This window comes from Homo sapiens, chromosome 18 (assembly GCF_000001405.40).
Source record: "Homo sapiens chromosome 18, GRCh38.p14 Primary Assembly".
Taxonomy (NCBI): Eukaryota; Metazoa; Chordata; class Mammalia; order Primates; family Hominidae; genus Homo; species Homo sapiens.
The window spans coordinates 26016101-26041174 of NC_000018.10; the positions used below are offsets into that span (position 1 = coordinate 26016101).

The window sequence follows — 25074 nt, forward strand, 5'->3', positions numbered from 1 at the left end:
TAACTTGGGCATGGCAAGAGAATTTTGATAAAGTCCTAGAATACAAATATAGTCTGCTTATACTGGACTAACTTATATAAAAACCCACAGCATAGTCTCCAGACAAGACAAGAGAGTCAAAGAGATCTAATTTAAAGAAACAAATGAGAAAATTAAAATCACAAATAATTTATTCTTCCGTTAGAGTTGATACAGTTTTAAATAGCAACAAAGTACACAGTGGTGGAAAATTGGCACAGAACCTACAAGCATTTCAATCACAATAAGGCTGTCCATGATTTATCTGTTCAAACTTGATGTCCATTTTCTACTGATCAAGTTGAAAGAAAAAACCTATTCTGGCCAGGCACGGTGGCTCACGCCTGTAATCCCAGCACTTTGGAAGGCCGAGGCGGGTGGATCACCTGAGGTCAGGAGTTCGAGACCAGCCTGGCCAACATGGCGAAACCTCGTCTCTACTAAAAGTACAAAAATTAGCTGGGTGTGGTGGCGGGTGCCTGTCATCCCAGCTACTCAGGAGGCTGAGGCAGGAGAACTGCTTGAACCTGGGAGGCGGAGGTTGCAGTGAGCTGAGATTGCGCCACTGCACTCCAGCCTGGGCGACAAGAGCAAGACTCCATCTCAAAAAAAAAAACAAAGAACAAAAAACAAAAACAAAAAAACCTGTTCTGACCTTGAAACACACAAACACACACTCTCTCTCTCATACACACACAGAGACCCACTGAAATTCCTCCTTTTGATTACAGTATGTTGAGAACAGTATGTTCTGCTTATTCAAATTTATGACGCCCCTTCTGTTTTGTTTCCAGTTAGACGTGGGAAAAACCAATTCAATTATAAAGAATACATCTTATTCCCTGGGCATAGGCAACTGTGATGAAAATAGCAACTTACCTTTGGGCTAGATGTTTTCAGATTATGCTTAAATAACCGTGGTTAGAAATTTTTCAATGCATGCTTTCCTGCCCCACGCAATCTCCCTGAATTTAGCTAAAATAATCAGGCACAGGACAGTCTCAAATAATGATTAAAATATGCCATGCTAATAAACAAGGTTATCTAGAATGCAACCTCGGTGCTTTAAAAACAGATAGAATAAACCTCATCAATAAGCATTTTCCTAAATATCTCTTTGTGTTATATCAACCAACATAAAAAAGGGAAAAACATAAAAGTGTCCCTTTATAAATGATATTATTTCCAGATAAGAAAGTTGAAACAAAGGTTTGTAAAGTCTCCTGAACTATTCAGTTTAATAACCAATTATCCCTCAATATTACAAAATAAAATGACTGGATCAATGTTGACTCTTCTTTGATATCATTTATAAAATGCTTTGATATTACTTACTAAGTTCCCTGATAACTCAAACAAGGTAAAATTAACACTTTCATTTTCAGTTATTGCTATTTTAGAAGAGGATTACCACTTTCATTTAGATGAAACTGTTTTACCAAAGCCTCCTCAGATCCAACACAAAGTAATTCTTATTGCCTCACATTTTAAAACAGTATTATAAATGATCTTTATAAAAAGGTTTAATCCACAAAACTGGAAGGCTTTTAAAAAATGTCTTTTTACTCAAAACTGTATCACAGTGCCCTTGATTATCTAATAGATAAAAGGGATTTGAATTTCCTCTATGAGAACAGAACAGTGGACATATGGTGTGCTTTGTCTTCCCCTCACCTTTATCTTTATAGCACACCATTTTGAGACCAAAACAATCAAGCATCTACCATGTTCCAGTCCACATTAACAGAGGATTTCTGATGCTGTCCAGTGCGTAGTGTACCGCCTTGCATATTCACCACATGAAATAAACATAATATACAAAATATTGCTGCTGTAAAAAGTGTACATTTCCCTCTTCCCCTTACAAAAAAATCTGTGGAAAAGTATTAAATTCCCTTACCCTTCATAAACATACAAAGCTGTTCACACCTTTCAGTCTGTAACAGTCCATTTGAAACACAGTTCCAAAATCATTACAAATTGGTTATGTCATTGCATTTTCTGTCCAATGTTGCCATCTAGAGTAGAAATGTGAAATCAAGAGTATTTTTGAGCTACTAAAGCCTTTTATAACTAAACCACAAAGGCTGCTTACTGATGAAACAGCCACTTATCCACAAGGTTTTTCCAAAAACTAGATGGAATGGAAGGATCTCTTCACAGGGAGGTGTCCACAGTGCTGAGGTGACAATATGGCTGCTAATAGATACTGGCTACTGGAATGTAAGTACTTTTTCACTGCTGGTAATTTCCATACTGTCCCTAAAAGATAAATTTAAAAATATAATTAGATAATAGTTTGACCATAACAGGCAAAGAAGATTACAAACGAATCATTTCTAACACTGTCATACCACAAAAAAGCAGCCGTACCTACAATAAACAAAATTTTTTTATATCGTTAGGTATACAGTATCACCCTGTAATTTCTTCTGATATTATATTCAATTGCAAATGAATTTCATAGTCCAAAATATGCTAGGGATTAGCAAATGAGCCTAGAATAATACTTGTCAGAGTGGGAACTTAAATGTTTAGTGAATTTTGTTGAATGAATTGAGCAGGCATTGAGTGAGAAGTTCTAGTTCTAAACTCTGATGTAATATATATATTAGGGTGTAAATCATATGCTAGTGTGACAACTTTGTGAGTGTTTAGCTTGTTATAATTATTACAAATGAACATCAAGGGTATTTGCAATAAGTGGCAAGTGAAAATGGAAAGGTATGTGGGACATAAAAGGTAAAGAACCTTCTATCCATACCAAAATAATTGAGCCTTTCCCTGAGGTCAACAAAGTTCAGCAGAGGTATTTAGACAGGCCACAGGGACATAAAATCAAGGAAAGCTGTTTTGTGTTGTCTGTTTTGTTTTCTTAATAAGGTAGACTTGAAGACCCTCAGGATGACAGGATGAGACAGAAAGGGAATATAGACAAAAGGGACATGATGAAGCAGCACGAAGGGACATGATGAAGCAGCACAATTCTGTGAGTGGGGGTAAACAATGTCCAGTATACATCTGTTCAGGTTAACTTTTGGAGAAGATAAGCAACATCTTTTCCTCTAAAACAGAAGGTAGAAAAAAAGAAAGACATACTATGAAATATGTATTTTATTACAAATTTCTTAAATGTGTTTAAAACAGATGTTCATAAAAGCACTAATTTTCAAAAAGCATGACTCACTGGAAGCATATAATTAGTTAACTGTTTCCTTTGGCTAAACAACTCTCTCTCCACGTCACAACAATATAACTCAAAAACATTCTAGACTTGAAATACTTCTCTACCATAAGAAATGGTACCCTAAAAATCTACATTTCCACAGAAGTAAATACACATGATAATGTGTTGAATGTCACCATATATATGATGGAATAATGAATTAAACAGAATTAGGGATTTTATGGGCCAGGCATGGTGACTCACACCTGTAATCCCAGCACTTTGGGAGGCCAAGGCGGGTGATTCACTTGAGGTCAGGAGTTCGAGACCAGCCTGACTAACATGGTGAAACCCCGTCTTTACTAAAAATACAAAAATTAGCTGGGCGTGGTGGCGCACATCTGTAATCCCAGCTACTTGGGAGGCTGAGGCAAGAGAATTGCATGAACCCAGAAGGCGGAGGTTGCACTGCACTCTAGCTTGAGCAACAGAGCAACTCTGTCTCAAAAAAAAAAAAAAAAAAAAAAAAAAAGAGATTAGGGATTTTACACTAGTGTGTTTTACATAGTTATATTCAGCTAAATTTAAATCAATGATCATCTTGAAGGATTTATGAGTAAAATGATATCACATCTAAGATTTGCTCTAAAATACTCTGAAAAAAATAGTGTAGAGGGGTAGATAAAACAACATTGGCAAAATGTTGATAAACTGATGAAGTTGGGTGATGGGTACACAGGGGTTCACTATATTACTCTCTTTTCTATATGTGTTTAAAATAAACATAATAAAAGGTTTAAAATAAGAAAGTTATTGGTTAGCATACTGGAGCTTATTATTCCATTGTTAGATTGTCTAAATACTAAATCTGAGTTTAAGTTCCAACTCTATTGCTAACTTCTTATTTGAGTCTAAAAAAACCTCTGTGAGACTCGGTTTCTTCAATCATCAGTGGGAGAGTAACATATATATCTCTGGATCACAATTTCCCTTCTGTTAATGGCTACATTAATTCCTGTACCTCATCTGTTTGTTATGATGCTTAAATAGGAGAGGACATGAGAAAGCGCTTTTTAGAATTATAAATCAGTGACTCTCAATGATGGAGGGAAATGCTCCCCTAGTCAATGTATAAAATGAGATGCTAATGATGAAAGTGAGTTGCAAATATAAATGATGTGAAAGCAGAAGAGAGGTTAAGAACCACTGTACCATAGTATATAAGCTATAATTTATCTACTGTATTATGAACTACTTGAAAGAGACCAGGTCAATAATGTATACCAAATAAATTATATCCAAGCAACTGTGAACACTTATGGAACAAATACTCATCATCATCAAAAATGTGGAAAACAGAGAAGACTCAGAAATTAAGGTATAATTACAAAACAGATAAGTTCTCTAAGTCTTAGCAAACTTAAGAGAGTTCAGAAAGGAAAAGGTTAACACAGCCTAAATTAATTAGAAAAATATTCCCAAGAATGTGGGAGCCTTGAGAAAACAGTAAGATCTGAATAGCAGAAAAGAAGAAAAGAAAAGGGGGCAATTCAAATAGAAGAAATAGCTGAAACAAAGGCATGGAGGATAAAACACAGAATGCTTAGGGAAGTGGGAAGAAAGAATACGCAATAATGAGGAGTAGAAGCTAATAATATACCCTGATAATAATACCTCAGTTTGTGTCACATATTGTATTAAATGCTTTGTGTCCATCTATATATAGTAAATATTACCTCCATTTTATAGAAGAAGAAATGGAGGCACTGAGAGTCTAAGTAACTTGGCCCATACTTGATCACAATGCTAGGACCAAACAAAACCACAATCATGCCTAAAAAGGTAGGCTGTGTATCTGCAACCATTAACAAATTCCAAGGTGGCATTAAGGATTAAAAGTACGGCTTTTGGAGCCAGAAACCAATTTCTAGTGCTAACGTCACCACTTAACAGCTTCTTATCCTTGGGCAAGTTGCTTAACCTCCCTGAGTTTCAATTTTATCATCTGACAAGGGTAATTATAATCTCTATTTTAAAAAGTTATTCAAGAAGAAAAACATGAAAATGCTCTGTGAACTACTCAAGTACTCATTAACAGTATGGGTGGCAGCATGGTACAGTGAACAGAGCATGGGCTTTCAGCACTCAGCAGTAGTCATGCAGCTTCACCACTCCTGAATTCTGTCATCTTGAGTAAATCACTTGAACACTCTAAGCCTCACCTTCTCTCTCTTTGCTCTTCAATTTTTAAAAAAAATTCCTCTGACTACAGTATAAAGAATTTTAATGGGAAAGAAGACAGTATGGAAGATCCTACTGCGATGAAGACAGGAGATGAACATGGTCTAAACTAAGATAAGGGTGTAGGTTAGAAAGAAATGAATGGGTTCAAAAGCTTTTCAAAAAGGAAGATCAATAACATTTGTCATTTATTAGACAAGGGAGGAAAAGCAGGGACACTTAAATACCAAACAGGCACTTGGCAATCTAGCTTGGTGATAGTACCCCTCTCTTTGATAAAGAACACAGAAAAGTTTTGGTAGAAAAAATTATAAATTTATTTTGTTTCTGCTGAATTAATACCTATGATACATCTAAGCAGAGCTGTCGAGTAGGCATCTAATTTCCAGAAGAGAGATTGAGACTATAAATAGAGATTTGGGAGTCAACAGCATGGTGAACTGAGACCTTGTGAATAAATGAGAATGCCTAGGGAGAGTATATTGAATGAGAAGAGTTCCTAAGGTAGAAATCTGAGCAATACCAAAATCTTTACATTTCTTTCCTTCATTCTATTTACCTAATCAGTTTAAAATCTTAACATTATTCCTTCACAACATTTTAGGGGTTTCCTCTTAACTCTGGTCTTGTGATCACGCATTCAAATCTAGAAAGTAGTGGCCTTATTTACTCAGTTGTTTATACTTTATTCACCAATATTTACTGATTATGTGCTGTGCTCTACTAGGTGACAGAGACTCAACAGTAATAAAAACAGACAAAGCGATGCTTTTAAAGAGGTTACATTCTTGGGGAAGAAGAATATGACAATAAACAGTAACAAAATAATCTGTCAAATGAAGAGAAATGTTATGTTGAAAAATTAATGCATGTTTCTATTCAAGATGGATTTATCTGGCAGCCTGAAACAATAAAAAAAAAAAAAACTACACAAAGCATATGATAATCATATTCAGGACACACAGGACAGAGCCAACAAAGGACAATGATCCCTGAGACATGGTAAACAAATGAGGCCAGCCCTCTGACTACCACAGCTAACTACCTTGAGAGTTTCCAGTCTGCAGTGCACGAAGGGGAACTGAGGCTGAGTCTGCCAGATGTTCTGACTTAAGGAGATAAGGCTTAGAGTCTGGAGAGAAAAAGGTAGCTAGAGTTAACAGGACAGAGTACCCTACAAGAAAGATCTGCCTAAAGAGACAACTGTGGAGATGTGCAGAGGAACCCTCCTCCTATTCAGCATAGTACAGATATGCAAATGTGTGAGGAAAATACCCAGGGCTGAGGCAAGAAACACCCAAAAGGATTAGGGGAAACAATACTTGTTTGTCACATAGGAACAGAATCAGTGCTTATTCCCACCAGTCAGAGTAAAAAGCCTTACAATTCAAAGGGCATTGGGCAAAACACCCAAAAGGCTCTTACCTTATCAGTGATGAGTATTTAGCCCAGGACTAAACACTGCTCTTTGTCCTGCCTAGAATATCTTAAAAGCAATTTCAGAAAGTTCAAACTGTTTGTAACTTATTAAACTGAATCCCAAAGCAAAGCTTAAGAATATCTCTAGGTATACATATATCTTCATCACCCAACATAAAATTCACAATGTCTGGAATCCAATCAAAGATTATCACGCACACAAAGGACAGAGAAAAAAAACTGATTAAAACTGACCCTAAAATGACATAGATTATTAGAGTTGGCAGAAGAGGATATTAAAAGAATTATATTTGTATTCCATATGTTCAAAACAATTAAGGACAGACACGGAAGATATTAAAAAGACCTAAACCAAACTTGTAGAGATGAAAATGACAAAGTCTGAGATAACACTCAACAAACTCCAAGCATAAGAAACATGAAGAAATCAACACCAATGCATGCTCTCATCAAATTGCTCAAAACAATTTGGGCAAGAGAGAAATTTCTTCAATCAAACAATTTGATAAAGGGAAAATCTTAAAAACAGAGAAAAAAGACATATTAACTACAAAAGAACAAAGATAAATGACAGCAAATGTCTCCTTGGAAACAATGTAAGGAAGAAAAGAGTGGAGCATCTTTAAAGTATGGAAAGAAAACAAAAACAAACTGTCCACCTAGAATTCTATACCCAGAGAAAATATCTTTCAAAAATAAAGGCAAAATAAACATTTTTTTCAGACATACAAAAGCTGATTATTACCAGTACACCTGCATTTCAAGAAATGTTAACATCCTTCAGGCAAACAAAAATGATACCACATAGTAATATGAATCCATACATAAATAATGAAGAGTACCAAAAACGGTAACTACATGGGTCAATTTAAAAATTTTTTTTTCCTTATTATTTAAGTATCTTTAACTGATTTTTTTAGACAAAAATAAATTCAATACACTGTGGGGTTTATAACGTATACAGAAGTAAAATTTGTAACAATAACACAAAGAGAAGAAAAGCAGACTACCTTAAGGTTCTTACACTATGTATAGGCATACTATCACTTGAAGACACTGATACACGCTACACAGACGAACCTTGAAAATATTATTTTAAGTAAAAAAAACAAAACACCAGTCACAAAACTCCACATATTGTATGATTCCATTTATCTTAAATGTACTGAATAGGCAAATCTATAGAGATAGAAAGTAAACTACTGTTGCTGGAAAATCTCCAAATATTTGAAAACGAAATTACAGAATGAGTATTTAAGTATTTAAGGCTGAGTAGTTAAAGGGGAATGAGGAGTGACTGCTAATAGGTATACAGTTTATCAGGCTGGTGAAAATGTTTTAAAATTAGAGGGTGGTGATGGCTGCACTTTTTTGGGGGGACAGGATATTAGCTCTGTCACTCAGCCTGGAGTATAGTGACACAATCACAACTTACTGCAGCCTCGACCTCCTGGGTTCATGCAATCTTCTGCCTCAGCCTCCTGAAGAGCTGGGACTACAGGCACATGCCATCATGCCTGGCTAGTTTTTTGTAGAGGTGGGGGTCTCGCTTTGTTGCCCAGGTTGGTCTTCAACTCCTGGGCTCAAGCAATCCTCCTGCCTTAGCTTCCCAAAGTGCTGTAATTATAGGCGTGAGCCACCACCCCCAGTCTACCTTTTTGAATATGCTTAAAAACCACTGAATGGTATACTTTAGAATGGTGACTTGTATGATATGTGATTTATATCTCAATAAAGCTGTTTTTGTTAAAAAGAGGAGAAAAATCAAAGGAAGGCAGAAAAAGAGGAAAAGGAGAACAAAAACCAGATGTGACAAATAGAAAAAATAAAGATGATATACTTAATCATATCCATAATCACACTAAACATGTCAAAAACCCCAATTTAAAGGCAGCAATTGGCAGGCTGGATTTAAAAAAAGCAAGATCCGACTGACTACATATGCTGTCTACTTGAAATATAATTTAAATATAAAAACAAATATGTTAAAGGATGAAAAATTATTATTCTAATACTAATCAAAAGAAAAGTGGTATTGCAGTATTGATACTAGACAAACTAGATTTCAGAGCAAAAAATATTGGCAGGGATAAAGACAGTTATTTGATAATGGTAAAGGAGTAAATTCATCAGAAAGATTTGAAAATCTCCAAATATTTGAAAATGAAATTGCACACTTCTGATGTGTTGTGGGTCAAAAAAGAAATAAAAAGTGAAACCAGGATGTATTTTGAACTGATTAAAAATAACAGCATCAGATGCAGTTTAAGAATACTTAGAAAGAAACATCTATATTAGAAAGAAAGACAGTTCTTAAATCAATGGGACTACAACTTCAATCTTAAGAAACTGGAAAAATAAGAACAAATAAAACCCAAGTAAGCAGAAAAAAAGAAATAATAAAGTTCTGGGCAGAAATCAAAGAAACAGAAAAGCAAATGGGCAAAAGGCAATAAATAAAATCGAGCTGCTTTTTGAGAAAAATGAATAGGTAGATTAAAACTAGCCAGATAAATGAGGACAAAGAGAGAAGACACAAATTATTAATATCAGAAATGAGAGAGGTAATATCACTACAGATTATGGAGATATTGAGCGATGATAAAGAAATTATTCAACAACACAGATAAAATGGACAACTCCAATGAAAAACACACAAAACATTTACTCAAGAAAAAAATAGATAACCTGAATACCCCCTATATTTCATAAATTAAATTTATAATTTAAAAATTTCTCACAAAAAAAACTACAAACCCAGATGGCTTCACTGGTAACTTTGCACCAAACATTTTAGAAAGAATAATGCCAATTTTCTGAAGGGAGGAAATTCTTCCCAACTCACTCTATGAAACCAGTGCTACCTCAGTAACAAAACCAGACAAACATGTTACAAGAAAAAAAAAAAACAGATTCCAAAATTTGTCATGAAAACACAGATGTTCCTTGACTTGCCATGGGGTTATGTCCCAATTAACCCACTGTAAGCTGAAAATATCCTAAGTTTTGCATACCTCATGTAATTTATTAAACACTGCACTGAAAATATAAAACAGAATGATTGTACAGTTACTGGAAGTAGAATTTCTACTAAATACACATCACTTTTCACAGCATTGTGAAGTCAAAAAACCTAAGTTGAACCACTGTTATGTCAGGACACAACTGACTGGGACTACAGGCATATGCCACCATGACTGGCTAGATTTTTATAGAGGTGGGGGGTCTTGCTTTGTTGCCCAGACTGGTCTTGAACTCCTGGACTCAAGCGATGCAGATGCAGAAATTCTTAACAAAATTTTAGCTAATCAACCCAATATATAAAAAGGATATATATCATGACCAAATAGATTTTATCCCAGGTATGAAGTTGGTTCACATTTGAAACTCAAACAATGTAATTCAAAAATTAGCAAACTAAAGAAGGAAAACCATAATTCCCTCAATAGATAAGGAAAAATCATGTGACAAAATTCAACATTCATTCCCAATAAAAATTCTCAGCAAACTAGAAATATAACACCTGATAAAGGACATCTACAAAAAACCCTACATGAACATCTTATATAAGGATGAAAAATGACAACTTTCTCTCTAAGATCAGGAACAAGACAAAAGATGTCTACTCTCACCATTTTTATTTAACATGGTATTGGAGTTTCTAGTTGAGGCAAGCAGGAGGGTGGGGAAGGAACATGGGGGAGCATTCAGATTGAAAAGGAAGGAGACTGTCTTTATTCACAGACAACATGATTTCTATGTTTGAATATTCAATGAAATCTACAAAAACACTACTAGATGTGATTTTAGTAAAGTTATAGTTTTGATAAAATATCAATACACAAAAATAAGCTGTATTTGTATATACTAGCAACTAATAACTGGAAACTAAAATTTTAAAAAATTTACAATAGCATCAAAACACATAAAATACTTAGAAAAATAAATGTAAGACCTATATAGTGAAAATTATATGACACTGTTAAAAAAAATTTTAAGGGACATATGCCATGTTCATAGGTTGGAAGACTAAATAATACTGTCAGTTCTCCCCAAATTAATCTATAAATTCATGGCAATTACAATGAAACTCCTAGTAAGCTTTTACGTACAAACTGACAAGCTGATTCTAAAATTTATATGGAATCCAAAGAACTTACAGTGCCAAACAACTTTGTATAAAAAGAACAAAGTTCAAAAACTAATACTACCTGATTATAAAACTTATTTTAAAACTATAAAACTTATAAAACTATACTAATGAAGACAGTGTGGTACTGGCATAAAGATACATAAACAGATCAATGGAACAGAATAGAGTTCAGAAACAGACACATGTTTATGGACAACTGATTTTTTGCAAAGGTAAAACGACAATCCAGTAGGTAAAAGAGAGTTTTTGGCTGGGCACGGTGGCTCACGCCTGTAATCCCAGCACTCTAGGAGGCCGAAGCAGGCGGATCACGAGGTCAGGAGATCAAGACCATCCTAGCCAACAAGGTGAAACCCTGTCTCAACTAAAAATACAAATAAAAATAAATAAATAAATAATTAAAATTAGCTGGGCATGGTAGCGCACACCTGTAGTCCTCGTTACTCATGAGGCTAAGGCAGGAGAATCGCTTGAACCCGGAAGGCGGTGGTTGCAGTGAGCTGAGATCGCGCCACTGCACACCAGCCTGGTGGTGACAGAGCGAGACTCATCTAAAAAAAAAAAAAAAAAAAAAAAAAAAAAAAAAGTCTTTTCAACAAATGACTCTGAGAAAATTAGCTATGCATCAGAAAGAAAAAAAGCCATGCAAACTTTATTTCATACTTCACACCATACATAAAAATCAACTCAAAATGAATCATAGACTTAAATGTAAACTCTAAAATTATATAACTTCTAGAAGAAAGTACAGGAGAAAATCTTTGTGACCTTCAGTTAGGTAAAGATTTCTTACACATGATCCCAAAAGCATAATCCATAAAGAAAAAACTGATAAACTAAGCTTCATCAAAATTTAGACTCTCCTGTCTTTGAAAGACACTATTTATAGAATGAAAAAACAGACAGGATGAAAATATGTGCAAATGATACCTGATTAAGGACTTGTATCTAGGATATACAAAGGCCTCTTAATACTCAATAATAAAAAAAATAAAGAGCCTCCAATTTAAAAATGAGCAAAAGATTTAAACAGACACTCCTGAAAAGAAGAAATATAGGTAGCAAATAAGTGAGAGAAGATGGTCAACATCATTTGTCCTTAGGGATACTCAAATTAAAGTCATGAAGTGTTATAGCACACCTATTAGAATAAATAAAATTTAAAAGACTGATTCATACCAAATATTGGCAATGAGTTAGCAAGGATATGGGTGAAATCATACACTGCTGGTAAGAATGTAAAATGATAGGAATATACAATGGTACAACTACTTCGGAAAACATTCTGGCAGTTTGTTGAATTAAATATATACCTATCATATGATCCAACCATTCCACTCCTAGGTATTTACCCAAGAAAAATGTCCCCAGGGACTTGTCCATGAATGTTCATAGTACTGTGTCTGTAAACCCAAATGTCCCATCTCAATGGACAAACAAATAGCCATATAATGGAACACTACTTAGCAATAAACAATTACTGGCACAAACAACATAAGTATCAAAACAATTATGCTGAGTAAAAGAAGCCAGATAAAAACCAGAACATACTATATTATTCAATTTCTATACAATTTTGGAAAATGTAAACTAATCCACAGTTTAGTTAAAAGATCAGTAACAATGTCTGGAGAAGGGATGCAAGTGGAGGGATTTCAAAGGGGCACAGGGAAAACTTCTGGGCATGATAGATACCCCATTACTTCGATTCTGCTGATGGTTTCACAGGTGTGTATATACGTGTCAAAAAAGATCAAACTGTACACTTTTATTACATGCAGTTTAATGGTATATAAATTATACTTCAATTAAGCTGTTCAAAAAACTATGAAAAGGGTAGGGAAAAAGAGTGATGCAATGGAGGGTGTTATGTCTTACTTAGGTGGTCAGTGAAGGACTCTCTGATACGACGTGATGACATTTAAGCAGAGATTTTAATAAAGTGAGGTTGGAGGCACTGCAGGCATTCAGGCAGAAAAAGGGGCAGCAAATACAAAGATTCTCAGGTAGAAACTCACTTGATGCATGTAAGGAACAGCAAATAGGCCAGTGTGACTGAAGCAGAGTGAATGAGGGCAGCGAGTGGTTGGGATATAAATATGCAGGCACAAGGAGGGTAGCATAGGAGGTGGGAGCACAAGTCCTATATGGCCTTGTAGGCCAGTATATCATATGGCTTTTACTTAAAACACCACAGGGTTGTAAGCAGAGAGGTGACTAATGTCTTTAAAACATTACTCTGGGTCCCATGTGCAGAGTATCTTGTAGAGGAGGCACGATAAAATCAAGAAAAGCAAAAAGGAGGATATATTGCAACAGTCCAGATGAGTGCTAGTTGTGACTTTTGACTTGGGTGAAAGGAGACTGTGAAAAATGGCTAGATATTAGATATATTTTGAAGGAAGAGGTGAAGGGGTTTGCTAATTGGATGTCTGCTTTGCAAAGAGGGGAGTCAAAGATGACTCTAGATTTTTAACCTGAGGAACAGGAAGAATGGAACCACTGTTTACTGGATAGCAAGGACCGATGGGGAAGTATCCTAACAATTTCCACCCTTTTAATTTCTCCCCTTTTATCTTGCATATTGCTGTAAGATTCATCTGCCTAAACTACAACTATAATTATGTTAGTATTGGGTTTCAGAATCTTCGTTAGTTTTCCATTGCCTCAACCATCAAGACGTGAACGAACTATTTTTCCTAAAATAAAGAGATCAATAGGTCTTTGGGTGGGGGCTAAAGATAAGGTTAAACATTAGGTTAATGTAGAAACACTACTGGCACTAAAATAGCTAAAATGGTCCCCCCCTCATATTCTTTTCTAGTGGGGAAGGAGAAGTGGTTGGCAACTACTCAAACACCATGAGTCTTTATCCACACAGTATAGTCCCAAATTCCTGAGAACTTTAGAGAGTGGAATAATTATGATGATAAAAGAAGTAAATCATGTATCTATCATAGCTACCAAGTGCTAGCCACTGCTACACACTTTATATACACTGCTTTTCAAGCTCCACACTGATGTCAGGATAAAGTTCAAGTCCCCTAATACGGCTTGTAAGAGCCTTCCTAAGCTAACTCCAACACCTCTCTCCAGTCTTGTCTCTTCTTCCCCATGCTTCTGCTTTACTGAACTACACACGGTTTAACACTAGTCCCTTTGTGAATGCTCTTCTTTCATCATCCACATCTACCTGGCTAATATTGGCTCATCCTTGGTACTTCACACTTATATATAATATTTCCGAAGGAATATTTCTCAAGATCTGAGTTAGAAGCTCCTTCCACATAAATCTTAGCTTTCCTTATCTAAGTACTTATCACACTGTATCATATCATATGTTTACCCACCTGTATGCCATCTACACTTAAGTTCATAAAGACTGAGTCCACGTCTATCTTATTTCCCAATATGTTCCCAATCTTAGCATGGCACTTGGCATATAATGGTTGCTCAATAAACATTTGCTTAATGAATGGCTTGAAGTTTAGGAGATTTGGAAATATATTGACTTAGAAAGGAAAATGATCAGTTTAGTCTACAACATGCTAAAGCTGAGGGAATCCAAAGACAAGAGATGTTCTGTACATTTGGATAAAAAGGAGCTGAAACTGGGTTGAGAAGTAAGAGCTAAGAATACTGAAAATAGAGGGCAGTATGATTCAGAGGCTAGAAAAAAAAATACAGAGTCAAGAATTGATATTAGGGTAAAATAAAAAGGAAAACCAATAAAAACAATAAAGAATGAATCAATGTAAACGCGAGAGGAACAAAATGTTTCAGAAATATAGAAACTAAAGAAGACCATCTAAAAATGAAAAAGGAAAATGTGCCAATAGCTAAAGTGAGGTCAAGGAAGATCAAGACAGCTGGTTGACTATTTTACCTCCGTAGGACCTACTGCAGTATCAAACACATGGAGAATAAATATTTGTTGAGTGATGGAATACATGGACAGAATCTCACTTTTTAAAAAGTTTACCTGCAGATTACAATGAGCCTAAATTTTATCTGCTCAGGAATCCTGCCTTTAAATACTCACTAGCCACGACTTATTTCACTTCTAAAACTTAATAAAACCTCCAACTGATCCTTTTGTTTTGTTTGAGGATATTTTTGAAAAATATTACTTATCTGTTCTTATGCTTTTTGTATCTCCTTTGCCTTAAATAAGAAGTGTCAATACAAGAGGGTTGTAGGCATGAGAGAGGGCTGATCAAAGAACTGCTCATGCCTCAAATTCTAGTTACCACTGCATCTGAGTTTTTCCTCAAACCAGATACTGATGTTGGCCCTGAAAGCCTAAACTGCATATTAAAGACAGTTCCTTGTTAAAAAATAACTTATTTTAGATAGCTTAAGTGGTGAACAAACCAGACCACCTTCACTGAAAAGTGCAGACAAACCTGAAACCAGCCTAAAGGAACTGCCATAATAATAAATCATTTCCATAATAATTCAGAGTATATATGAGTACATTCATAAAACGATGACTGTGGTACAAGTCTGAGGAGTTTAATGACAAAAATAAGGCAGTTAAATGAACACTGGGTTCAAGGGAATACAGTCATCCTAGGATGAGATACACTTCTACATATCTGAAAGAAGAATGACAGGGGAGAAATAACAGTTGAAATAATAGTTACGTGTGTGGAAGGAGGCAACAGAGGGCGGAAAGTTTTAATTTAAAGAGATGGGATATTATGGGTGTGAAGGAAGTGTAGTGGATATGCTGGAGTGAAGTGGAGTGCTCATGAAAGCATCAACACAGATGGACTCCACATCTCAGTAGGTTAAGGCAAAGTCTCAGCAATAAACATCAGGGAGGATCACAGAAATCACTAAGGTTACCAGAGGTTGGGAAGAAAAGGGATGAGAAGGGATCACGGAGGGGGAACCAAATGAATTTATTAACGTTGAACTGTATGTACACTCAAAAATGGTAAATATGATAAACTCTCTATCTATACTTTACCTCAGTAAACAAAGTATGCCTGAGGGTAAAGACCACAGAGCAAGAGGGGGAGAGAGAGAGACAGAATATATATGTTGTTGTCTTATGATAAGGCCATGTTTTATATGATAGAGTAACTATGATCAACTGTGTTATTAAACAGCATGAATCTCAAAAGTGATACACTTTTTGTTAACAAATGTACCATAAACATTCCCTCATGAGGGAAACATGAGGCTTCAAGTTAAATAAATTTTAAAAAAAAGTTCACCTAATCGAGAGTGAAGAAACAATGTGGCAATTCTGCAGCCGGTCAAACTACTTACCTGGTCATATCCATAAGGCCTCTGCTGGGGTGGCTGTGGTGGTCCAGGCTGTGTTGGTCTATATCCTCCATACTGCTGACCTTGTCCCTGTGGGTAGTTAGGATACTGAGGACCTGGACCACCCTGTGAAGGACCTGAAAATAATGTACACAACAAAAACCCACATAAAAAGGTAAGTCCCTAGAACTCAGGGAAGGATGTGAACTACAGAGATGTTACTGTATTTTTCTATCTAAGCTAAAAAAAGATAGTTTGGTACCTTGATTTCCTCAAATGCTTTCTGAAATAAATCTGGATGGTAATAATAAGAGTAAAAATACTGTAATGTTACTTCACTATAATTATCGTACTATGCCCTAGCCATTACAAAATATATTTCAAAATGGGTAAAAAAGACTCAGGGAGTTGTAAAGCAGGTTAACTCCATGATGATAAGAAAATTAATCAATACGTCTGATAGCGTTAACCAGCACAAGCAAGAGGAAAAAGAGAAAGCAAGAGGCAGATTCAAAGAAAAATACTGAAATAACTTCTGAATAAAGTGGAGGAATAAACGATATTTACAACTGTATGACTCTAGATTTATATTTGCAATCACCAAAAGTATATGTCTATACTATGCATTGACAAATTTGTTACCAAAATATTTTAAAACAGAAACTAAAAACATGAAAACCCACAGGTTACATGTGAAAAAACTTGATTCAAAAGTCACACTGAGAATTAATCACCTTTAATACTTTACCCATAAAAATGATTACAAATTCCAGAGATGGCAAGGGACTGACTTGGCTTGCTAAACAATATGTCTGTTTTATAAACTCTACTAGTTGGGCTTGGCGCAGTGGCTTACGCCTGTAATCCCAGCACTCTGGGAGGCTGAGGTGGGAGGATCACCTGAGGTCAGGAGTTTGAGACCAGCCTGACCAATATGATGAAACCCCATCTCTACTAAAAGTACAAAAATTAGCCGGGTATGGTAGCATGCGACTGTAATCCCAGCTACTCGGGAGGTTGACAGGAGAATCGCTTGAACCCGGGAAGCAGAGGTTGCAGTGAGCAGAGATCGCACCACTGCACTCCAGGTTAGGCAACAAGAGTGAAACTCCGTCCAAAAAAAAAAAAAAAGCATAAGCTGAAAAGCTTTGACACTTAAATGTTTTCTATCGTAGCCATTCAAAACCTGCCATAAAAACACTGATTTCAGAGAAAAGTGTCAAAAGAGAACAAGTTTTCAAGCTTAAATAAATTATATCAGCCTATTATTTATTATATATTCAATTATTAAAACTTTATTTCTAGTGGAAATAAAGTTTTTTTTGGACAACACAAGCCTATGGATAAACAAAATAGAAATTTCTCTTAGGATTCCTGATGTCTAACAAAACAGCATTTAACTATAATACTTCAACAAAAATTAAGCTTTCTTTCACCCTCTCTTACCATTGAAGGTATTTATCTTAAGTCAATGAATTTACCTGATTTAGCTGCATTACATCTGTTTTCATCCAAAGGCAATAAAACCAGAATATTGTATTTATTCAAAGTATAAATACTAAGTAGTCACAAAATGAAAAGGCCATTTGGGAAGGGCAAGAAAGTTCCTTTATGAAAGAAAAAAAATCCATGGAATATTTCTAAAGTCACATCTAGAATCTGGAAATCAGAACTTGACATTTTTAGAAAAATACCTGACTCCCAATATCTGACTGAGTTTCAACACGTATGCTGAGGGGGCAAGAGAATTTCAGTCTGACCTGAGTTCTAAGATTTGCTATCACAGGTAGACAAAGATGTCCACAGCAATGGCAGAGCTTAAGTCAATGAATAAAAATAATAAGATATTACCGACGTGAAAGAGACCCTGTTAGGAAGAGAAGGAGTCAGTATTCATAAGCAGCTACTTTTCTTTCAACAGAGTTGTATCTAAAGTGGTTATAGTAGCCTGAGAGTTAAGACTGAAATATCAGGTCCTCGTCATTCCCCACTCCCTATCTAAGAAGTTAAAGTCAGATATCCAGGTAGCAGGTATTATAAGTGAGTATATAATAGGAAAATATTGCTACACTTCCCCCAAATTCTGTATGATACACAGCTGCAATAATTCATCCCGATGGATACGTATATTGCTATTTAGGGAATGACAAAAACATTTTCTTTATGCATTCTGAATAGATCTCATTTGTACTCAAAAAAAAAAAAAATCAGTATGTCTTAAAAAAAACTGTATTGGCCACTAGTTTTTCAAAATAAATTTGCTAAGCAGATTATATACATATGGTCAATAATTACCCAATCATCAGTTTTCCCAGCACACACAGGGCTAGGCATGACAAATACATCTGATAATTCATTTTTCTTGTCTTTTAAATGACTCCACACATTACCTTTGGTCATGAACCATCTCCAGTTTGTTGTTCTTTTTAAATGGATTACTAGTTTATCTAAGAGCAACATTTTAAACCAACATTTTAACAGTAGACTAGTCTAAAACTGAATTTTCAAGTGATAATTCTTGTAAAAATAAGTATTAAATATCCACTTCCATATTTTAAAACAATCAGCACATTTTTTTGGTGATAAAAATACACTGTACAAAGCTTTACCGTAGCCCTGCTGCTGTCCTGGGTAACCTTGCTGCCCTGGGTACTGCTGCTGCTGGGGTGGATATCCCTGTTGTGGAGGTGGTCCCTGGTATGCATCTTGCTGTTGGCCATACTGTGAATTTCCTACAGGATAATTGGAGAAGAGGAAAAAAAACTGAGAAGTCTGCTTAAGTAACTTTTTTCCCTCTAAGATGCATAGCCAACAACACAAGAACAAAATGAAATGCCATATTGATTTTTAGAAGTTAACAAAACAAAGAAAAAACTCAAACCAAACAGAAGGATTTCGGCCAAACAAACTGCAGTTAAAGCCAATTTTGCAAGGTTGAACTGCAGCATTTTCAGCGTCTCTGCCATACGAGCATTACATTTACTGGAACATCACAGTCATAAGATCATGACTATGCTAAATAAAATAAAAAAGACAAAATTAAAGACAGCTACAAGAGCACACACTAGCTACACGAGATCAGCAAGCTGTTTCCTAAAGGCACTATACTTATATGTAAAATTATACATATGTAAACACACACGAGAAAAAAAAGTTTGATGGATTTATGTTCAAATAGAAAATTTCCACTGAGGAAAAAATTATCTTTAATGTTTTAGTCTTTTTATTATTGTTAGAAATGGCAAGTCATGGTTATACATTTTAAATATTTGTAAGGAAATTATTTTGATTGTTTTGGGCTCCCTGCAACTTTCAAGAAAGCCAGCAACTAGTATTCTACAAGAGCTTTGCATGGGTAGAAGTTGTCTTATGCAAGAATTTTCATTCCTGTAGAAGGGGATATATATGTGTATGTGTGTGAAGGTATATAGATACCTCCTTCGTAGTAATGTTGTGAGGAATCCTCATAAGGCCTATCGTAGCCTTGTTCAGGATACGACGGTTGCTGATAACCGTAATCATTATGACCTACATCAATTCGACAAGAGACAGGAAGAAACGTTAATGGCCACTGAGTGAAAACCCTAAAAATATTTAAACTTTCAGATAAAATTGAAAAAAAAGAAAAAGAAATGGAACATAAAAAATAATTTCAATTGCATTAGCCAAAGATTTACCAATGTGATTGTTTTCATATTGAGATAACGTGCAAATTTTTTTAAAAGCAAAAAGCAGTAGTTTTAGAAACATTACACTTATTGTCTTAAATCTGATAATCCTCATTGAGGGAAAAAAAACTATCTCCCATTTAAAAAAACAAAGAGAATAAAAGTCTTTCACATGTAAATAACCTAAATTAAATTAGAATGAACAAAGGAAGCAATTATCATATTTTGTCAAACACCTGTTCTGCTGGTCTCCAATTCCACAGCATATGCTAAAAACAATGCAAAATATAAAAGAGTTCCATAAGTTTTTCCCCTGAAAGAAACTGAAAAATTTTCAAGTTCTAACATTTACTTGCATAAAGTTAAGTATCTCAAAGTATCTTCAGATGCAAAATTATATATCTTAATGCTGCCATTTTGGAAATCTTTAGAAAATATTTCAAGTATCATAAACATACATCTTCATAAAATTAATATTGTGTTGACAGAGTATATCTTTAGTTTTAAAGCACAATAAATTTTACCTGCGAGATAATTGGACTCTAGTGAAAAATACTCTCACTCTTTTTTTTAAAGTTTCACTAAGAAAATGTAGGAAATAACCTTTTAGTTACCTAAAATCTAAACTCAATTTTACAAAAATGCCTAATTAAGGACACAGGAATAAAATTACAAATGAACATTATACTCAGTGCTCTAGTATTCTAATGTTCCCAAGCCACCTCATAAATACCTACATGAAGGGTTGGCAAACTATGGCCTGCAGTCTTAATATGGCCAGTGGCAAGTTTTTGTAAATAAAATTTTATTGGAATACAGTCATGCCTATTCATTTCAGTATTGTCCATAGCTGCTTTCATGCTACAATAAGAGTTCAGTAGCTGAGACCAAAACCATATGGCCCACAAAGACTAAAGTATTTATTATCTGGCCCTTTACAGAAAAAGTTTGCCAATTCCTAATCTATATATTTACTAACATAAATATCCGGACATGAGAGAAAAGAGCCAATGTTGTTTACAAATATTAATTGTCGACATAAATAGAATACTCTATGTAAATGTCAGATATAAAGTAATATACACCTATGCAAAAATGATACCCTTCAAATTAAAATCCACTAATAAAATGAATTAAAGTAACCTTAATGTTTTGATATTTACAAAATAACAAACCAATATATTTTGAACAGAAAGGTTATAACAATACACATGTCACATTTCAAGAGATACCCAGGATCAAAACAACAATGTCAAATTTAATTCTTTAAAATGTAATTAAAAATTAAAAAATAGAAACAATCATTTATTTTCAGCAGACTTCTTAATACATATAATTTAACAAAGTAGATTTCACGTCTTTAAAATACGTAGAGTCTACAACAATCTTACTAAAGTTTTTAATTTAAAAAAATCTTAATACCATGTTTACATATGAAAAGAAAAAACAAAACAAAAACCAATGTCCTTAAGTACAAATGTACCTTTATGTTTTATGTATTAACAAAAAATGACAGGTGAGATGTTTTTTCAAATATCCTAAATTGTATCTTCTTGCTAGCTTACATGGGCTGCTAGTCAATGGCTGCTAATACTTTAGCTTTAAGTTTCTTAGTTTCTCTGTTCAGTAATTTATATTTACATCAAAGGATCATATACATGAATAAGGCTTTTGGCAAACCCTAACAACCCACATCATTTTGTAATGTATTTCTGAATTATTTTTTCTTCTACACTGTATTATAAAATTTTCAAGCATACAGAAAAATTGATGAAACTGTACTGTGAAAACCTACTTGTATGCTTGGATTATTGCTATTCAAATTTTCCTGAAGTACAGTGCATCTTACTAACCAATTTTTCACAAGCCACTTTCTACAAAAAAACAAAAAACAAAAAACCCTAACTAAAAATCTTATTTCCAAATTGCCTTTCCCATTCTACTCAATCTCTATATGGCTATATTATGGATATAATTTAGTCTCCCAAATTTTTCTCAAAGGCAAGCACTAATGTAAACCTTAGTTTGTTGAGAAGTATGAAACATTAATTAAAATGATGAGACTTGGAAAAATAACTTGAGAACTATATACTCTATGTATTTGTACAATTAATACAAGTCAACTAATGGGTGAACTTTATGGCAGGTGAATTATATCTTAATGAAGCTCTTATTAAAAAAAAGTAAATCAATAAACATAAGCTTTGGCTGAAATCAAACAACCCTAAACATATTACAAAAAGATCCTTTTACATAAGGATTCCAATGACAGACTGTGATTCCTGATGGTACTAATGGAACACCTAAAATATACTTTGAATTAGATTATAAACTAATGCTATCATTGGTACTTTAGAGTACTGAAGTGTTTCAAAATTTAGAGGAAACAAATTGTTAGTTTCTTCGTCCTCACTGAAATGTTTTAAATAACTCTCTACATTAATATTAGGCAGGGATAGAAAATGGGAAAGTTAACATCAGGAGAGATTACCATCAGGGTAATATTGCTGGTTCATGCCTTCTGGAGGACCTTGTCCACCATGACTGTATTGGTCCCCGTAATAGTCTTCCTGGCCTGAGTACTGCTGTGGTGGGCCTGAAAAACCACAACCAGTCAAGATATAAATAATGTGTTCTCTATGTCATCAAAGGCTTTCTTTCTAATTTGATATTATGAAAGATTATTTCTCAACTATAGATTCCCATCTCATAATTTGGCATTTCAGATACTTTTAGCTATTCATATACATATGCATACATACACAGCAGCTCCACATACCACATTTACTAAAATCAATGTTAAGACCATACATGCAGTATCAAAAAATACCAACTCAGAAAAACAAATGCTAACTTCTTAAAAATAGGTTCAAACTAGTAGCAAATTTATTTCCTTTTAATTTTGATACTACAGTGCTGTGAAGTAAAATTGGGTTTATTCCTGACCCTTTATAACTTTTCAAAAACAAAACAGTATTTTCTGCTGTGAATTAGTGAGCTTTCGATATAAAATTGTATGGTATAACTTATTCCAGAAAATAACAGATAAGAAGTTCCTATCTTCTTCGTGACCCCTTTGTACTTACTAGAACCCTACCTTTTGTCAAAAAAAAAAAAAAAAAAAAAAAAAAAGAAAACGCCCTGACTTTGTCTAGATTAAAAGGTCATTAAAATTTAAAGCCTTTCAATTACATTAAGTAGCAAATTTTCCAAATGGAATCTTACCCTGTTGAGGAGGTCTATAGGGAGGAATCTGTCTCTGACCCATCATATGATTGCCTTGGTTAACTTGACCCATCATTCCCATAGGTGGCTGCTGTCCTTGGTAATGCTGTCCGCCTCCCTGTGGCATATTGTATTGCTGAGAAGGAGGCTGCTGATGCATCATTGGACCTGAAACAAGACACAACATTATACACATAATTTTTTGTATATAACTTTAACATCTCAAGAGAAATAAGATAATCTTTTATCATATAGTCCCAAAAATATATAATTAAATGCAGTAAAAACTGATTTCAAATAATAAAAATAAGTCTTTGAATTAAAATTCACATGCCTAAAATAATGTGCAAACAAAAGAAAATAACCAATCCATGGTGGTTAACTTGAAATCCACTGGAAGATGATTCTTAGTCATTTTTTAAAATAAAATGCATATAATATATGAACATCCTGAATGTGTGTATTTTCCATTACACACTATCTAATATTTATCTATACCATCTTTCTTGAGAAGATATCATCCTTATGCTACACTGGAAAATATACCAAAAGTAAACTTTACAAAATCACACAGCAAAACAGTGGTCAAACTAAGGAAAAGAAACCAAATCTCTAGATTTTTACTTTGTTCTCTTTTTCAATACTCACTCATTATATAATGGTAGACAGGAAAACTATACAAACACCGAATATAATTTCATAAGCTTTAATTTAGGACAAAATCTTAAAAAGTCTTCTTTCCCTTTCCCAACTACAAGATTTATAACCTAAAAAGGCCTCCTTCAAATCAAATGGCTATACTGCTTAATATGTTAAAAGACACATACATTACATAAAGACTCTCACACCTCTAAAAACAGGCAGAGACATGCAACAAGCTGTAGGCTAAGAAATCTGAACTACAGAGTTTCCAAAGTGAGCAATACTGGGGTAGCCAAACTACCACTGCTATAGTATCACACTGGCAACAGTAAAAATGTATCACAGGAAACAATAAACAATGGCCATAAAGTCCCACATTGCCATCTAACAATGTTAAGCAGCTCCTGAGAGGTTTACTGGGCCAAGTTACGGTATGGGGAACTCATCATTTTGCCATTATAACATTACTGTCTCAGAAGTATGGATGAGTCTTTTCCCAACTTGCTGCTTATATAGCTACATACTCCTCCTCCCCCTTGAGTGACATGGAGAAAATTTAAGTACAAAAGGCAAAGTACTAGACAGCCTGGAAAGGTTTCACAGATGAAACTGCCCAAATGAGCCAAAAGTTCACTATTAAATTACTTAACAAACAATTAAAAACAAAACAAGCCCACCTCTTCAAATATATTACTGACTTACAACAGCAGCAATGATGTAAGCAGAAAGACTTCACATTTCCAATCAGAAGAACTGTTTTATCTGAAGGAGTACTTTATCAGAGATAACTGTTTTTCTCCTATTTGCCTTCCGTGCTTCTGTTTCTTTTTTCCTCCTTTTCAATTTTATTCTCATAAATGTGAATGTAAGCCTCTCAAAAACTCTGGGACCTTTCTTTCAACAAGGAAATACAGTCTTAGTAGAGACAAACTGGCTGGGTGAGAGTAGAGGCGAAGAGAACTTAATACTGAAGGTACCCTACAACACTGCCAGTTACATGGTTTCACAGTCATTTCCTACAAACTCCTAACAATTACCAGAGGTAAGGACCCTAATTCTCAATTTTTTTAGCCAAGGAATCTAAAAATCAAGATTACACAGCTAATAGATAAAAACTGAGAATAAGACAAACCTCAAATTTTATTTTGAAGCACATGTTTGTTCTATTTTTCATTGCCTCTATTAAAACATAAGCTATAACAAATTCGTAAGCCAGGAGTGGTGGCTCACACCTGTAATCCCAG

General features: G+C 34.6%; 1 protein-coding gene across 14 annotated transcripts in view; it reads right to left on the reverse strand.

Annotated features, from left to right (window-relative positions):
- Nucleotides 1–152: 152 nt before the first annotated feature.
- The window catches only part of SS18 (SS18 subunit of BAF chromatin remodeling complex), a 74967-nt gene continuing 50045 nt past the window's right edge, over nt 153–25074 (reverse strand). For 11 of the 14 annotated variants that reach the window (NM_001308201.2, XM_047437763.1, XM_047437766.1 and 8 more), the window contains 6 exons: nt 23189–23356; nt 22455–22559; nt 19731–19823; nt 18905–19027; nt 16299–16432; nt 153–2280 (listed from right to left, as the gene is read on the reverse strand). In NM_001308201.2, coding sequence (NP_001295130.1) covers nt 2254–2280; nt 16299–16432; nt 18905–19027; nt 19731–19823; nt 22455–22559; nt 23189–23356 — 650 coding nt within the window. In that variant the 3' untranslated portion in view covers nt 153–2253. The remainder of the gene's footprint in view (nt 2281–16298; nt 16433–18904; nt 19028–19730; nt 19824–22454; nt 22560–23188; nt 23357–25074) is intronic. The other 3 variants (XM_047437767.1, XM_047437768.1, NM_005637.4) reach the window with 1 other exon arrangement.